At 49.4% G+C, this 17,956-nt stretch overlaps 1 protein-coding gene across 5 annotated transcripts in view, besides 2 other annotated features; it reads right to left on the bottom strand.

Moving 5' to 3' along the window:
- Positions 5,687–5,981: an enhancer, noted in NCBI's record as "tiled region #5374; K562 Activating DNase matched - State 9:DNaseU". NCBI's record gives its function as "activates a minimal TATA promoter and a strong SV40 promoter by Sharpr-MPRA in K562 cells {active_cell/tissue: K562}" and the evidence as "EXISTENCE:reporter gene assay evidence [ECO:0000049][PMID:27701403]".
- The window catches only part of DMBT1 (deleted in malignant brain tumors 1), an 82,983-nt gene continuing 74,604 nt past the window's right edge, over positions 9,578–17,956 (bottom strand). For all 5 annotated transcript variants that reach the window (NM_001377530.1, NM_007329.3, NM_001320644.2 and 2 more), the window contains 4 exons: positions 17,115–17,323; positions 16,002–16,186; positions 12,865–13,274; positions 9,578–10,192 (listed from right to left, as the gene is read on the bottom strand). In NM_001377530.1, the coding sequence (NP_001364459.1) occupies positions 9,916–10,192; positions 12,865–13,274; positions 16,002–16,186; positions 17,115–17,323 (1,081 nt within the window). In that variant the 3' untranslated portion in view covers positions 9,578–9,915. The remainder of the gene's footprint in view (positions 10,193–12,864; positions 13,275–16,001; positions 16,187–17,114; positions 17,324–17,956) is intronic.
- Positions 12,773–13,972: an enhancer, noted in NCBI's record as "BRD4-independent group 4 enhancer chr10:124398858-124400057 (GRCh37/hg19 assembly coordinates)". NCBI's record gives its function as "activates an origin of replication core promoter dependent on BRD2, P300/CBP, MED14 and CDK7 cofactors, and independent of BRD4, by STARR-seq in HCT116 cells {active_cell/tissue: HCT116}" and the evidence as "EXISTENCE:reporter gene assay evidence [ECO:0000049][PMID:35650434]".

Raw genomic sequence — 17,956 nt, 5'->3', positions numbered from 1 at the left:
AGAAAAGAAAAGAAAAGAAAAGAAAAGAAAAGAAAAGAAAAGAAAGGAAGAAAGGAAGGAAAGAAGGAAGGATCAACATCAACCTACTTTCACCTTGCTCCTTATATCGAAGGTGATTGTGTACACCCACAAATGTAGGCCCAAGAAACTTTTATTACAATTATCCAGGCTTATACAGTTCAAGGCTATATGCCAACTGATGAATTTATTTGGTTAAAGAAAAAATGTCCAAGGCAGAGGGAAGGGTGATGTGAGCAAGATGGCAGAATAGGAATCCCCAGCTCTCACTTCTCCACAAAACAACAATTTGGCAACCATCCACAGACACATATACCTTTATGGAAGCTTCAGGACCCAGGTAGGAGGTTGTGACACACCACTGAAACATAAGAGCATAGAAATCTGCTTCTAGAAGGTATGCCTGTGTCCCAGGAACAGGTCAGCTACCATAGACTCAGCCCCAGACTGAAAACCAGCCTGCATAGTCAACTCTAGCCCTGGTTTCTGTAGTGTTAAAGGCAGTCTCTTTTCTCTGGGGACCCCACAGAAACTATACTCACCCACACCCAGGATAACAGGACTGCCAACCATGGACCCAACTGAAGACATGAAAGAAGCCCCATGACCAAGGGCCATCCCAGCTTGACTGCAGTCCCAGAGGCGGCATATCTGTCTTGAGACCCAGTAGATCTTTTCCTACCAAATCCAGTCTTTAAAGATCAGAAGAGGCGACTGCTCCTTCTGATGCACAGACACCATTGCAAGATTACAAGGACCATGAAGAATCAGGCAAACATGATTCCATCAAAGGAAACTAATAAGGCTCCAGTAACCAGCTCTAAAGAAGTGGAAATCCATTAACTACTTGACAAATAATTCAAATAATTGTCTTGAAGTTCACTGAAAAGAACAGATTTAGTACTACATGAAATCTATGAAACAACAATGAAAAAAATTATAAGTTCATTTAAAAAATAGAAACCATAAAAAAGAAACAAGCAGAAATCCTACAGCTGAAGAATACAATGACTGAGCTGAAAAACTCAAGAGATCTTCAATAGTAAGCTTGATTAGCAGAAGAAAGAATCAGTGAACTCAAACAGGTTATTTGAAATCATCTGGTTAGATAAACAAAAAGAAGAAAGATGAAAAATAGGGGGAAAAGACTGGGATTTACGTGATACCATCAAGTAAACCAATGTACATATTCTGAGAATTCCAGATGCAGAAAAGAGACAGAAAAGGGAGAAAAACATATTTAAGAAAATCATAATTGAAAATTTCTGATATCTAGGCAGAGAAATGGACATCCAGATTCATGAAGATCAAAGGTTCCCAATAGGTTGAATCCTAAAAGGTTTACAATGAGACACAATATAATTAAATTTTCAGTAGTCGAAGAGAGAATTTTGAGAGCGACAAGAAAAGCAACTTATCATATACAAAGGAGCTCCCCTTAAGTCTATGAGTTAACTTCTCAGCGGAAACTTTGCAGGCCAGGAGAGACTGGGATAATGATATATTCAAAATACTAAAAGACAAAAAGTCAGTCAACCAAGAATACTTTAGACAGGAAAACTGTCCTTTGTAAACGAAGGAAATATAAAGACTTTCCCAGACTAACCATAACCAAGGGAGTTCATCAGTTCATAACCACTAGACCTTCCCTACAAGAAATGCTAAAAGGAATTATTCAAACTGAATTGAAAAGAGACTAAAAAAGTGAAAGTCTAAATTTCATTGCTAAAGGGTTTCCAGTCTTCTGTGTTTGATGATTGTTATAGCATCTGGACCTCCTCTTCCCTGTAGCCTTGTCCAGAGGCTCTAGAGTGACCAGCCATTCTGGCTTGTCTGGGATCGAAGGGTTCCAGAACTTGAGATTTTCAGTGCTAAAACTGGAAAAGTCCCAGGAAAATAGTACTGAATTGGTTCCCCTACCAAAGTTCTGGGTGTAATTTAAAGGAAAATCCAGTGATCAGAGGAAGGGAGAAGAGACAGAGATTTTATTAACCAAAGTCCCAGGAAAATAGTACTGAATTGTTTCCCCTACCAAAATTCTGCATGTAATTTAAAGGAAAATCCGGTGATCAGAGAAAGGAAGAAGAGACAGCAATTTTATTAACTAGGCAGCCATCCTGACACAATGGGAGCCAACCACATCCTGACCAAACTTAACCAGTGAGGCTTCCACAAAGATTTAAGAGTTCCAGTAGCTTCCTGATACCCCCTCCCCAACTCTTCTGCTCTCCTCACAGCACACAGAAGGCATCCCTCTGGGAGAAGGTGACAAGCTGGGACAGTCACTGTGGGTCTCTATCCTGAGAAGTTACTGATCCTGTGTTCCCTGTGAGTTTCTTCATAATTTTCCACCCCCACCCACCCCTCCAATACAAAAGTCTGAGCTTGGCACTATGCCTAGGCACCCCAGGCCAACACTCAACCCTCCAGTATTTACATACTTGGGAGAAGACAGGTATCAAGAAGCAGACTCCCCATCTTTGCCACCTGTAGTCCCATATGTAGAAATCTGCAGTGGTGCATGGGGTGGAGGTGGGTTGGTTGAGGAGAGATTCTAACTCATCAGAACACAGGAAAGCCTGGGTGGCTGTGCACCCATTCCAAGCCTCCTTGACCATAGAGAGCTCCCCAGCAGGCTGTGAATGAGGATGGAGCAGATTTTGAAAGCGTTCACTCCTCTATGTTCCCTGCTAGCTCTGTACAAATCTTAGATCTCAATCAGATGAGTCATTACCCAGCATGGTGGCCTCACTCTGCCTTGGCTTCTCCTTTGTCCTGAGCAGTTGTCCCAGGCCAAGCCCTTGGAGTCATCAGTGCCCCCACATGACTCCATCACTTAATCTTGGAGCTTAAGCCTCTTGGAAGATGCTGTTACAGAAACAAATCTTTGTCTCTGATTCAGCAGGGATGCTGTTCCTCATTTCGAAGCTTGGACAAACCATATGGGCTCCCAGGCACTTATAGGTATAGAGTTCCAGGGAAAACAGAACTGTCACCTGAAGGTTGGCTCAGGCCAGATATCCAAAGATGGAGCTGAGGGATATCAGACGTCCTCATGGCTAAGAGGAGCAGGAGAGGGAATTTGGTGCTGGACTCAGGCAGAGGGAGATGAGGCAGGACTCTGACGTGTGCCATCCCATAGCCTCCACCACCTGGCTTCCCGTCTTTGGCCTGCCCCTAACCTGTACCTGGACAGCTTTCCCTTCCCCAGGGGCCAAGAGTAGGCCAGGTGCCACAACCACTGCTTTCATCAGAGCCTGTGGGAGCTTCCCAAGGCATCTCCCTGCCGAGGTAGCTTTGGATTCCACACTTGCTAAAACACAGACGCTTTCCAAAAAAATTTAATGCCAATGAAGGAAACTTGAACATGGTGGCAGGCCAATGAAGCCTTTTTCCAAGCTCTCCTAGTGTATTTGCCCCTTTCTGGGTGAGCTGTAGGCAGTGGGGCATTGTGAAATCTTTAACAACAGGCTCTGGGAAGGTGGAAGCTTCCTTTGTAGCGTGATTTCCATGGTGTGAATCCTCCCCCCATGGCCATTTTATGCCAGCAATAAGACGCCATTGCATGTGGAGCTGGGAGAGCTGGGCAGTCACTCCGCGGGGGACAGTATTTCCAGCAGACAGACACAACGTGATGTAAATATCCTTGGGCACAGGTAATAGTAAAATGGAGTCAAATAACCAGAAAGTGCTGAGTTTTGGTATTTAATATTTTTATTTTTAATATAATATTTATTTAATTGTAAGACTCTACAATTTAATTTTTAATAATGGCCACATAACATCCAGCTTGTATGATTTCTGAAAATGCAGCATTTCACAGACACAGGTTTCCCGAGAGGACCTTCTCCCTCCAGTCAGTGCACACCTGAGTGGCCTTGCCAAGCACTCGGGACACTAAGTACTCCAGCCAACACAGGCAATGGGAAGAGATGCTGAGGTCAAAGTTTCATCCCCTACAGGAAACGACCATTGGCTGGGGCTGTCCCTGATTCCCACACACCAGAAGCCATTCAGGTGCCATCAAACCTGCAGAGGATAGAGCCCCTGCCCAGGGCAGAACCCCTTACTAGCCACTGCAGGGATTTGGATGCCAGGAACAGGGCTGGAGGGGACAAGATCTCAAGGGGCTGCTGAATGCCACCTTCAGCCTGTGGTAGGGACCAGGCAGAAAGGGGAGCTACCATCCACTCTGTTGTCAGACAGTAGATCGGATTCTGTCCCCTTAAAGTAATGGAAAGGAGCCAGGACAGGCTTTCACAGGAGTCCTTTATTAGAGCTGAAAACTGTGGAACCCCTTCCTGTAATGGACAACCACGGGCACTCACAGTAAACACAGTAACAAGTTCTTCAGGAATAAAATAGCTCCAAGGTTGTTCTGCAGCGCCCTCTGGCACTGGCAGGTGGGATAACAGGAGGATGGTGAGATGCTGTGGTTCGAAGGGGCTGGAGGGCAGCCTCTGTCCCTACAAGGTCACAGGAGACAGCTCAAAACAGGTGCCATGTGGCCCGGCCTTGTGTTCTCTTGGCCCCTGGTTGTCAGTCACTCTGCTGAAGGTGGAGCCTGGAGCAGGATCACCGGGCTATGAGCAGGTACTGGAGGTGCGGAGAACTTGGAGGAGCCACCACAGGTCAAGTGAGTAGTCCCGTGGGGCCAGCTGGGGTGTGGGTGTGGTGTAGACATCACAACCCTCCTTTAAGCCCTCCTTTTGCACCTGGTACCACATCTTACATAGGAGCTGCAGACAGGAGTGTGTCTGATGCAGTTCTCTGTGCAAACTCAATGTGAGGCCAGGCCTCCTGGGCTCCTGGGCTCCTGGTGCCTTGGGGATGATGGAACAGGGAGGAGGGAACCTAGGACCAGAAGTCAGTGACCCCGACTCAGACCCCAACTCTGCCACTCGCTACCTGAATCCTGTGCAGTTCTGTGCTGACTTGCCTCTCTCAGCCTCAGTTTCCATCCCTGCCAGGTGAGAATAATACCTGGCCACATGGAGGATTAGAGGATTATGTCCAAGGTGCCAGGCTGGCAGAAGATGCTTAATCAGTGTTTCCTCCATGGCATGTTCTTATGGATGGCAGAGGCTGGGGCAAATATGAATCAGCAGAAATGAGGCACTTTAGGTCAGTGGGATTTTGATACGGTCTTTTGGGACTTGGAAAGTAGATCTTTCAGGAACACTCAGGGCAAGCCTGCTGAGAACCCCGCACCAGGGTCCCCCTCATCCTCACAGCAGGGACCCATAGTCTCCACTGCTCCTTCTTAAGCACAGGGCACAACCTGGACTCTCTCAGAGGGATTTAAGGAGTCCTAAACCAGCAGCTCTCAATCTTGGAACAACCTGAGTCTGGTGGGTCACCAATGTCCAGGCCTACCCTCTGATTAGATTCTGATCTAACTGGCTTGGGTGCAGCCTGGCAGCAGCAGGTTCAAAAGCCCCCGGGCCATTCTCACGTGCAGTAGAGTTGAGCACCCTTGCCTCAAACCACAGTCTCAGTTGCTGGGAATCACAGCCACTTGGTGTCAGCCCAATCCTCCCTGAGTGTGGAGATGTGGTGTGGATGGGGAGGATGGGTCCCTGCTCCCAAGCAAGCCCACTTCTCTGTGTCCCCTGTGACTGGACCCTCAGTCACACTCTGACAGCTTTAGTCCAGAGCCCCTGTCACCGGTGGCCCTGTCTTCTGCTCTACCTTTCACCTGGACCTCACTGCCTCTTGCTACCAAACTCATCTGTCCCTACTAGCCACTCTCCTGGCTGGGCCCTGCTGATAAAGGGGCCATTACCTCCTTCCTTGAGAGGCTGCCAAGTGGCTAACACTGTGGTGGTTATCTGTGAAGAAGCACTGGCTACTGGGGCTATTTTTAAGGAGAGGGGACACTTCAGGAGGTGGAAATGTTTCCTGTGGAAATAAATTTCCCCTTATAATGGTGACCCCTGCATGACCCCTCTTTGTATCCACAGGTTCAAGTACAGAGCCTGGCTTGGGGCTGGCGCTCATGGGGACCACTCAGGGCAAGCCTGCTGAGCCCCCAGCCCCAGGGTCCCCCTCATCCTCACAGCAGGGACCCACAGCCTCCACTGCTCCTTCTCAAGCACAGGGTACAACTTAGACATTCATGAATGAGTGAATGAACGAATGAATGAATGAATGAATGAATGAACGAACGAATGAATGGATGGAGTTGGGATTCCATGTTGGGTTCCCAGCCTCTGAACTTTTTTGAATTCTCGGATGTCTGACTTGCCACTTTGTTACTCTGATTGATGTGTACCTCAAACCCGCACACCACTCCAGCTTCCTGCTGCTTCTGCATCTGCTCAGATCCAGTCCTGGGCTGGTGCCTGCATTCCACTGCATTGACATTGCTTTTCAGGGCAGACTCATGGTCACAGGGGAACCCTTAAGGCTTTCCTTAACTGCCCCAGCCTGGGAGGTTAAGGGTGAGTGTTGGGGGTGATGGCAAGGAGAATGGAAACCAACAAGAGACAGTCCCTGGGGCCCCCTAGCTCCTCTGACTCCTGGTAGGGCTCAGGACGCACTCTGAATCCCACGGAGGCTCATGGCGTCTCACCACAGCTGCCGGTGGTGGGCAGCTCTTGGGCAGCCCTAGTCAGAGCTGGCAGCTATGGCCAAGTCTCTGCTGGAATTCTCTGTCCCCTTGTCCTGGGGTTTCCCCTGTAGCCATTGCCCTGCTGGGGTCTCATGCAGCTCAACTCACACATCCAGAGTTAGGCTGTCTTAGCTGTCCCCTCTTGGGACAGGGGTCCTGAGATTGGCTTCATGGGGCAAACACTGGCATTGCCAGGGCAGTACACAAAAGCTCCCATTCCTGCCAAGCCTGACCTAGGAGCCCTGAGCCTGATATCTCTCTGATTTTCTAGGCAAATGTACTGCTTCCTTGGAACCCAGCTCATCCCTTTGTTTCTTCTGAGCTCCTTGGGTCACCTGTCAATCTCCTTCTCTCTGGAGACCTCATGCAAACAGGACTCCCTTCCTAAGGGCCCTAAGGAGTTTGCTTCTTTCCCTGAACCGCCCCAGCCCATAGTTCTGGAGATGAAGTGTCAAAAACCAAAAGAGGCAGATCCCTAGAGAAATGGAGGCAATCATCTTTAATTTTCAATCACAGCCACTGAAACTTACAATGCATTTAGCATTCTTGTCTTTCTCCAGGCTGCATCCTGCATATCCTGCTTTGGGAAGAACCAACACTCCAAGGACACTGGGAAGACACACGAGTTGCCCCTTCTCATTCTGTATGACAACCACCCCACCTGTCTGCTTAATTTGAAAGGATCTAGTTCTTAGGAGAAACGAAGGCAACAGTGGCCAAATTGACACTTACTCTGAAAAAGGTTCTTTATTCAGCTGGCTCTACCCTAAGGAAAGGCTGAGATTTATGCTACAGGCCTAAGAAGCGAGCTTATAAAAGGTCAGAAAAGAGGCCGGGTACAGTGGCTCACACCTGTAATCCCGGCACTTTGGGAGGCCTAGGCAGGCAGATCACTTGAAGTCAGGAGTTTGAGACCAGCCTGGCCAACATGATGAAACCCCGTCTCTACTAAAAATACAAAACTTAGCTGGGCATGGTCTAGCCTGTCTGTAATCTTAGCTACTAGGGAGGCTGAGGCAGAAGAATCGCTTGAACCCAGGAGACGGAGGTTGCAGTGAGTTGAGATTGTGTCACTGCACTCAAGCCTGGGCAACAAAGCAAGACACTGTCTCAAAAAAAAAAAAAAAAAGGCTCAGAAATTCCACCTAGAGAAAGCTCTGCTGTTACTAATGTTTGGCTTAGAGTTGCAGGTGAGGCTTTAGACGTTAGCACCTGTTTACCTTTGACATTTTGACCCAGCACTGAGCCTTCGGATCTGGGGAAAACCTCGCTCCACCTTTCTTCACCCCACCTCTACCCACCCCATCTTTCTTCACCCCACCTCCACCCACCCCACCATACACCTGTGCCAAGCTAAATGGAGTTCAGGTGCTGCTGGGCGCCAAGCTCTGCACCCTTGTTTCTTCCATCCTCTCTCGGGTGCCTGGGCTGGCAGAGCCAATATCTAAACACCTTCTCTGGGCTTCATATCTAGGAGCTCAGAGGCCGGCCACTGGTGCTGTGTGCCTTCCTCCCCAGGGTGAAGGCTGCCACAACCAGAACCACAGCCAGGAAGACCCCAGAAGAGATGGCAGTGCTGTGATACCTCCCCTGGGTGCTGGCTGTCTCCTCCACATCAGCCACCAACACGTCTGGGAAGGAGAGGAGACCACAATAACAGACAGGGCACCAGGACAGAGCCTGGCAGAGGAGGAGAGGAAGACAAGTAAAGGCCATGGCCCCCTGGGCATAGTAAAGGCAATCAGAACTGTTTGGTGGGAAAGGATAAAAAACTTGGAGAAGGAAGTGCTGAATGGGAAACTGAGGCCAGACCCCAATGGGCAGCTGACTGTCAGACTAGAGAGATTTCACGTTTATCAGCCAAGGAGAGTCAGGGAAGTTTTTCTTAGCAGGAACTGGGAACTGGGCTTTGGGAGAACAAATCTGGCCTGAGGCTCCAGATGAATGGGAGGGGAGAGAGTTGGGCATTTTAGACCAGCTGGGAAATGATTACAAGAGTCCCAGGTAAGAGGCCCCCAGGACGTGAGCTACTACGGCAGCTGCAGGGAACAGGAGGGAGAGGAGGGAAGTGAGCCTGTGCCCACAGGCACCTTCGCCCTGCCCTGATGTCCTTTGCTCCTCACTCCGACCCCATTGCATGCACCATTCATGAGACTTATTCTGAATTGCATCTTTTCCTCCAAGACTTTATCTGCCTCCTGGTGCATAACAGTCCTTCATTAAACATGCATTGAATGAATGAACAAGTGAGGAAAGAGTCTGGACTCAGGTGGACATAAAGACGGCCTGAATAGGAATCAAGAGGAAAGAGCTGTCAAAGATGCCCCATGGGCAGCGCCCTGACCAAGGAGAGGGCTTGTGACAACTACTGCTGCCCCACCCACCCCCAACACCATGGCCACCACATCTGTTGACCTAGCCCCAGACTGGGCCAGAAATCCTGGGCATCACTCTGCAAACATTCATTCCCTCGTCCATGCCCACAACACAGCAGCACAGCCGCACAGCAACACAGCAGCACAGCCGCACAGCCGCACAGCCGCACAGCCGCACAGCATCACAGCATGACAGCAGCACAGCCGCACAGCATCACAGCAGCACAGCATGACAGCAGCACAGCAGCGCAGCATCACAGCCGCACAGCAACACAGCAGCACAGCCGCACAGCAACACAGCAGCACAGCAGCAGATGCACTCCCTGTTCTGGAGAAGAAAAGTGACATAGCTTGTGCCCAGTAGAGCCTGCCAGCGATCAGGACAAATCCATGCAGCTGGCGTCCCCATGGCCCTGTCTAGACCCTGATGTCAACACGTCTGCTGTTATAGTTATTATCGTTGTGAGGAATACTGTCATCATTGGTGTTGTTAACATGGGTGACAACAACAGGAGTAACAAAAACTACCATTTACCAAGCACTCAATGACTTGCACCAGGAACAGGCTGAGGCAGTTTCACCAAAATTCCTTTATGTAAGTAACCCTCTCAACAGTGCTAAGAAGTAAGTATTGACATTTTCATTTTGCAGATGAGAAGCATGGATTCTGGGACGTCAGGTCTATGGGCCATCCAGGTCAGAACTCTCTTGACCTCACCCTGCAACGGGTCCTCCAAGGACCATGAGCCTTGGGGGAGGCGGGAACCAGGTCTGATTCAACTCCGTATGACCAGGTGCAGCACAATGTAGGGCTCAATCTGAGTTGGAATATGACACCAAGAGGAACATCCCAAGTCCCCGAGTCAGGGGTCTGCGCCCCGGTGGACAGTGGGGTCTGAGAGCGACCACCTACCGAGGCTCCTCTTCTCGGCGTGGGGGGGTCTGCAGCTGGATGGGACCCAGGACGACGTCCACCTTTTCCTGGTAGGAGCCCACATCCCTCTTCGACCTCAACACACAGCCTCGGTAGCAGCGGGAAGAGGGGTCATACGCTCTGCACACCACCATTTTACAACGCAGGTACACGGAGGGGAAGCGGTTCAGGAAGTGGAAGGCCCTGAACCGGAAGCGGGCAATGCGAAGAGATGGCGAGGAGTAGGGTCCGTAGGTGTCATCCCTCACGCATCTGGAAGAGAACAGTAGCCCCTTAGCTCTCACCAAGGCCCGATTCTTCCTTCATGACTCAGTTGTACCAGGTGAGGAACTCCACAGCCTGTCCTCACTGCCCCTGCCTCCTGCACACCTCACCTTCCTTCTGTCAGAACGTGTGGATCAGACACTCACTGAGGGGCCTGCAGAGAAATCCTGGCAGCTCCGGTACCTCACCGCCATCCTTAGGCAGCAAAGCCTGTGAGAGCTTTCCCGATAGACAAGCAGGTCCCATACTGCACAGTGGGTTGAGGCCTAATCCCACAATGACCACATGCTCCATGCACCCAGGTAAACCAGATGAGTCAGGGAAGTAGCTGGAGTTTGGAGCCCAGGAGCGGGACCCAGAGACAGGGCAGAAAAGTAAATGACCTTCCCTTCTCTCACCTGGTGTCAGGGCCAGGCAAGGTCTCATTCGGCTGCACTCTGAGTACAGTGCCCTGACCCTCCCTCTCCCAGGGCCTCTCTTTCCTGACCCTCCTCAGCCTGCCCTGAGCCCCATGCAGCTGTACGTTCCACACTGGCCTGCGAACCCTCCAGGAGCCCCTATACCGATATAAACCCCCTCCTCATTCCCTGGGGCACCTCCTCTCAGCAGGGGTCAGAGGGAAAATAACCTAAGGATATGCTTACAGGAATTTTCCTAAGATGGAAGAAGCAGCTCACACTAACCCAGTTATTATAGATTGGTGGGATTTTGAAGGGCATGGCAAAGAGAAAAGCCAGGAAAACTGGCCCACTGGCCTAGGATGGGCATTTCTCGTGGGTGGTGGATGTGGTCTCCAGGGCAGTCTGGCTCAGCCTGGGAACCTGGCCAGGATCTGCTCCCCTCCTTCTGTCTTCTAGAGCCTCCTTCCTTCCTCCATAGGCAACCCAGATTCTCTCAAATACCAAGTTTTCTTTTTTGTTTTTGTTTTTTTTTTCACAGTAGCTCCCTTAGTGGCAAAGGAGGAAGCAAAAATAGCCAGAGGCTTGTTCAGAGGTGGGACACTTGGGAAAAAGGTCAGGGTCACTTAGAAGCCCCTGGGCAGTCATTGCATTTGCCGTAAAACCCTGCCATTCAGGGCTCCACGCAGACCAGAATGCCACAGCGAAGCCACAGCCATGACTCCACCTCAGAATCACTCAAGATTTTTTAAACGTAACATGCCCAAGCCCCACCAGGCCAAACAGAGAATGTATGGGTAGGGCCTGGGCAGGGTGTGTTTGGAGCCCCAGGTCATTCTAATGGACTTCCAGGTGGATGATCTTGTTGATGGCCAGGTGTAGCCAATAAGTCCCTGTGCTCCAGGTATAGCCAGGGTACATCTACCCCTGCACACACATCCCCGTCTTCCCAGCAAATTGCATTGTCATATAGAAATGGCAGGATTTGACCAGAAAGAATCCTTTGGCAAGGAAGAACTAAGGTCACCCACTCATTTTCATTAATGTCAATCAATTCACACAAATTCAAAAGTCACCTTATGACTATTTGTACAACGGGAATCTGGTTAAGCTTTCTCCCCTCCTCTCAGCCACCAAGGGGGCTGCTGTGAATTGAGCAAGCTGCATAGACTGTAAACAAGGTGAGCCTCAACACCTACCTACTGAACTGACATATGTTCACACTGTGCCTGGAAAGAGGTGCTACGTTTAGCATATCAAGAGGGTGTCGAATTGAATCTGCCCACCTCTAATTCCTAGTAGAACTCTTTATCCTATTGGTATAAATTCTCTTGGAAGGCAATGGCTACTGAAGTGTCCAGGTCTATATTGTAAGCCAAGAAGTGTGGTACACATCTATCAACAGAGACTTCAGAGGGGGCTGGAGTTGCACATCATGGTGTCATCATGAGTGCAGAAGAGTCAAACCCCACTTCACCCACATGCAGTCATCCAGGGAAGCTGGGCTATGGTAGAGCAGCCCAGCCTGCACACCCTCTGGCCCCAGCCTGACATCTCTGGCCTGACCTCTGCACCTCCTGAGCTTGACTGGAACCCGTGGACTCCCAGAGCTTCTATTCCCAGGCTGAAGGAGGGCAGCAGGGCTCCTGCCATCTTCAGTGCACATTCCTGGTGGACCACCTGCTGCACACTCTCTGTGCTCAGTGCCACATCCACTCTCTCTCATCCCATCCTCCCAACAGCCTTACAATGTGCGTGTCATTATCCCCACTTGACAGGCGAGCAACTGGTCCATAGAGGTGCTTTCACTGGCCCAGAATCATGCAACTGGCACGTGGCAGAGCTGGCATTTCAACCTTGGTCTGCTCCAAATCAATGCTTTTCCCACTATACGCAGGTCTTTTTAACCGTATGGCTGGAGTTCAGTCACCTAGAGTCTGATCACGGTTTACAGCTAACCTGCTGAGTGAACACTGCTGAGCTGTTCTATTCTCCAGAAACCCATCTCCCCAGATGTTAACTGGAGATGATACATGGTCATCCTACCTGATGAGAAATCAGGGATGTGATACAGAACACAGAGTAAAAGCACCTCAAAGGTGAAAGCTACAGGACATCACTACATGTAGAAAGGGATCCAGTTAAGCTGGAAGTACTGGGAACTGCAGTTCATCAAAATTTGCATTCTTCAAGCCTTTGGGGCTACTCATGTTTGAGTTATCAAGTAAAGGTTTAAGGCCATCGCATAAAGACACTCCTTACCCACTCCGGATTAGATCATAAGTCAAAGACGTGAAGTCATTGGAGTATGGTGATGCCACGCAGGTGTCCACAAACAAGGTCAGTACAGCATCAGAATGGAGGATTTCAGCCTGAACGTACAAGTCCTGGTTCAGGTCCACGTAGTAAGGGCGGCTGGTCACAGGATACAAGAAAGATGAGGAAGTATAAAAGGAAATGTTCACGTCAAAATTGCCATACTGGACTTCCTCGACCTGGATGGTGTTATTAGCAACGTGGATGGTGTCATTAGCAATGTACATGGTGTCGACCCAGGTGTTCTGAAGCATTCTGCAGCTGACGTGAATACGGAGGTCTGTCCTCCTCTTGATGATGCCACCTGAGACAGCTGCTGTGAGGAAGTTGGAATAGTCGATGGTGTCATTGTCTGCCTAGGAGAGGCAGGCAAGAGAGCAGAGTCAGGCACATGTCACCTGCTAAGGGAATCCCATAGCTGATTTGGGTGTGAATGAGAGGGACGTGACTCAACAAGACTTCCACCCCTCCCAGAACCACTCAGAGATGGCCATGGCACGTGCCTATCCTTTGGCTATGAGCCAGCACAGGGTGCCAGAGCTTACACTCTGGGTCCAGGTCTGGGGAAGACCCACAGGAAGGGGTTCTACCTTGTCCACCTGCTCTTAGCGTACATTTTCTGACTTTAAACTGTCTTAAAAATTTGTTTTTGCTTTATATTTCAGTGCCAACAGTTGTCACAATAAACCGTATGACTTAAACCATACGACCGCAATAAACCCTTTTGTCAGGCCTCTGAGCCCAAGCCTGCACATATACATCCAGATGGCCTGAAGTAACTGAAGAATCACAAAACAAGTAAAAATGGCTGGTTCCTGCCTTAACTGATGACGTTACCTTGTGAAATTCCTTCTCCTGGCTCAGAAGCTCCCCCACTGAGCACCTTGTGACCCCCGCCCCTGCCCGCCAGAGAACAACCCCCTTTGACTGTAATTTTCCACTACCTACCCAAATCCTATAAAACGGCCCCACCCCTATCTCTCTTCGCTGACTCTCTTTTTGGACTCAGCCCACCTGCACCCAGGTAATTAAAAAGCTTTATTGCTCACACAAAGCTTGTTTGGTGGTCTTTTCACATGGACGCACATGACAGTATGACCCTTCTTACTCTTTCAAAGATGCTCTCAAGTGCTTTCCATTGAACCCTGTACATTAACATGATCATTTGCATGGATGTCACATTTGCCTGTGGTGCCTACGATGGAGGTAAATTCTGAATCCACTCCAAATAATGAACATGGAGTGCAGATTTATTTCTTGGTCAGAAGAAGCAGTTCTAATTTTAGATAAAAATTCACTATCACAGGCCAGCCTGGTGGAGCTGTGGGAAGCTCCAGCCATGGATGGCACAGCCCTACTTCTATGTCTTAGACCCGCAGCTCATGGCCATATGGTTCTGGGCAAGTGGCTTACCTTCTGCAAGCCTCCGTTGCCTCATAATTAAGTGGGAATAAAGTTGTCCTGAGAATTTTAAAAGTTATATAGCACACTTAGTTCAGTGTCTGATATCTGTATGAGCTGTTAATAATACTATATCAACTCTTAGGCTCAGGACCAGGGGCACTGGGGGTTGCAAAGATGAACAAAACATTGGCCCTGCCCCTGAGGCACTCAGTGTGATAGGCAATATGGTTATTTAAAGAAATAGAGGAGGCCAGGAGCAGTGGTTCATGCCCGTAATCCCAGCATTTGGGAGGCCAAGGCAGGAGGATCACTTGAGCTCAGGAGTTCGAGATCAGCCTGGGACACATAGCAAGATCCCACCTCTACAAAAAAAAATTTGTTAATTAGCTGGGTGTGGTGGTGCATGCCTATAGTCCCAGCTACTCTGGAGGCTGAGGCTGGAAGATTGCTTAAGCCCAGGAGTTCAAGTCTGCTGTGAGCTATGATGCACCCCTGCCTGGGCATCCAGCCTGGGCAACAGAATGAGAACCTGTCATTAAAAAATTAAAATAAAATAAAAATAAATAAATGAGTGGAGGAATAAGAATGTGGCGTGTGCTATTCATGATCAGCCAAGTTAGAAGAAACAGGGCTGACAGAGTTGTCTGGCCGCTCCAAACGGGTGTGAATGGGTGTGAACGAGTGTGAATGGGTGTGAATGGGTGTGAAGGGCCCTCAGCGGGGCCGCTCAGGGAGTCTCCAGGCTGCTCACTTGGCATAGGAACAATGGTCACCTTCAGTGGACTGACTTCCACTGACCAAACTCACAGCAAGCCAGAACCCAACACAATTAAGGCCAGGCCTTCACTGGGGGAGTATGACAAGGACCAATCACAGCATCTGCCACTTGTAGGGTGACTAACCGTCCTCATTTGCCTGGGAGTGAGGGGTTTCCTGGAACGTGGGACTTTCTATGCTAAAATCTGCAAAGTCCCAGGCAAACCACAGAAATCGGTGGTAGGGGCTGTTGAAAACTTCAGTATAATCATAGTTGCAGCCACCTTCAAGCCTGTAGAGAAGGGACACACCATATTGGCTTCACTTTCACCCAAAATTGGATGCAGGGGGCCATCTTAGATGGTGATAGCTCAACAAATGGTAGCTGCAGAGGCCAGCTGACTATGGAGCTAATGAAGCTGAAGCTTTTGGGCCCCCTCTTCCCTGCCTACTGCAATGTGCAGGCCTCCTCCAAGGCCTAGCAATGTGTTTGCACAGCCATACGTTTTTGCAAAGTTTATAAAAGTTCATAGATATTGCATTCTTTGACTTAATGAGGCCCCTGCCCATCTCAACACCTGCCTCTCACCCCCAACCCTAACTGTATAAGCTTCAGGCCCTGCAAAATCTGGAGCTGCTCCAGGAGCTGCTGTTGTTATTGCTGATGGGAGTGGCGGTCTGCCAGAAGCCCTCTCTGCTGGACACAGCTGGAGATACTCTTTCTGCTCAGCTTCCTTCTTCCTATTTGGAAGTAGCTGCAGCCATATCATAGCACCAAAGGTTTTTTATCTTCCTTTATTCCAATTATGTCCTGATTATCCCAAAATCATAATTTCTTCATCCCCAGAATTCAAGAAGCACAGGACATACCGCTCTAAGAAAGCTTGTGCACTGGGAAATGGAATGGGAAGCCCCAGGCTTACCTGCTTGAAGGTGCCGCAGCCTGAGTAGGGAATTGTGAATATCACCAGGTTCGGCGTTATCTGGGGCCGACACTCGTAGTATCCATTCCAGGTGGAAATGACAAGGTCACTGGCAGAAAAGCCCAAGGATTGGAGATAGCTCCTGCTCACACTGGCTTGCATGTGATTTGGCAGACAGAGCAGGTCTGATAGACAAGGACAGATAAGGCACTCAGTCACTGCCCCAGACTCCACAAGTCCTACGGGGCCAGAGGCTGTTTCCACTTAAAAAGTGCACAGACCAGGGTGGCTGACAGGGAGGGTCAGCACTTAGGATGTGGGCATAGACCTCACTGCAATCCCCCAAGGACCCGAGGGTCAAGTCAGCCCCATCCTTATGAAAGCCCAAGGAGAGCACGTGGACTCAGGATTTCTCTGATGGAGAATTGGAGGCAGGATTTTTAAATAAGTGGTATGTTTGGCCAAGTTACCATTTATCTATAAAGTAAAGTAACTGTATGATCAAATTGTGGGAATGTCATGAAACAAGGTCTTTTAGCCATGAAGCAAGTCAGTCTTTAATCCTGACTGCATAAGAGACCCTGGATGTCACCTTGCCTGGCCCTTGGCCATTCTACATATCAGTCCATACAGCAACTCAAATCATGGCCATACAGGCTCTGCTGGAAGTGTCTGAGTGACCTTATCTCAGCCACTTCCAGCCACCCAGCTCAGTCCATCTTCAGATAGAAACCAAATGTGTTAGGTCTCAGGCCATGGCCACAGTGTCCCACACTCTGAGAAGGTCACAAGGTTTCAAGCCAAGAGGTCACCTCTGCCTTTGGCACTGACTCATCACTCTCCACGAAGAGCATCATCTGGGACCCTCTACTTAGTCTCTGCTGACCACAGTAAGACCAATCATCACCCATCAGCCAGTTCTAGCCCTGACTTTATTTCTGGGCAGCCAGAGTCCCAAGTCCCACTGCTCCTGGTCCCTTTCAGCTGAAAATCAAGCCCTGGTGACCTGAAAGGGTTCCTTCATTTCTTATTTCACAACAACAGGACAGTTGAGCCACAGATGCTCTCAGGATGTCCCCAGTCCCAACAGAGCATTTCCACAAGGGGACTTACTGGTGCTGTCATTGGAGGGACTGGAGTAGTACTCAGCCCGGAACCCTCTCCTTGTGATGCTGTGGTCACTGATGAAGCGAATGGACATGAAGTTGGAGGAAGAAGTGAAGGAGCCTCTGGCCCCATCACAAACTCGAGCAATGAGAGGGGAACTGCGGTAGGGGCCATCGAAAACTTCAATATAATCATAGTTGCAGCCACCTTCAAGCCTGCAGAGAGAGGACACACCATTTGGCTTCATTTCCTCCCAGAATTTGACGCAGGGGGTCAGATCTCAGGGTGGGGTCACACCTCTGTGCCAGAAACTCTGACAAAGTTCATCGATGAAAGTCATAGGTCTCCTTGGCTGGGCGCAGTAGCTCACACTTATAATCCCAGCACTTTGGGAGACCAAGGCAGGTGGATCATCTGAGGTCATAAGTTCGAGACCAGCCTGGCCAACGTGGTGAAACCCTGTCTCTACTAAAAATCCAAAAATTAGCCGGGCGTGGTGGCACAAGCCTGTAGGGTGAGGGAGGCTACTCAGGAGGCTGAGGCAGGAAAATCACTTGAACCAAGGAGGCAGAGGTTGCAGTGAGCCGAGATCGTGCCACTGCACTCCAGTTTGGGCGACAGAGTGAGGCCCTGTCTCAAAAAATAAAAAGAAAAATAAAAATTGAAACAAAAGAAAGTCATAGGTATCCTTAAATCAAGAGAGTCTCATCTTCCCTCAACCTCCATGCCTGGGTCTTAGTCCTGCCCTTTGCAATCACACATATGAAATCTACAGCCCCTCACCTGTCAGCCCTTTACATCAGGAAAGGAAGGGCTCGCATCCTGATTTAGACCATTTTTCTTCCATC

The sequence above is a fragment of the Homo sapiens genome, chromosome 10, assembly GCF_000001405.40.
Source record: "Homo sapiens chromosome 10, GRCh38.p14 Primary Assembly".
NCBI lineage: Eukaryota > Metazoa > Chordata > Mammalia > Primates > Hominidae > Homo > Homo sapiens.
Note: the sequence above shows the minus strand (reverse complement) of the source record. Positions and strands in the feature narration are given on the sequence as shown.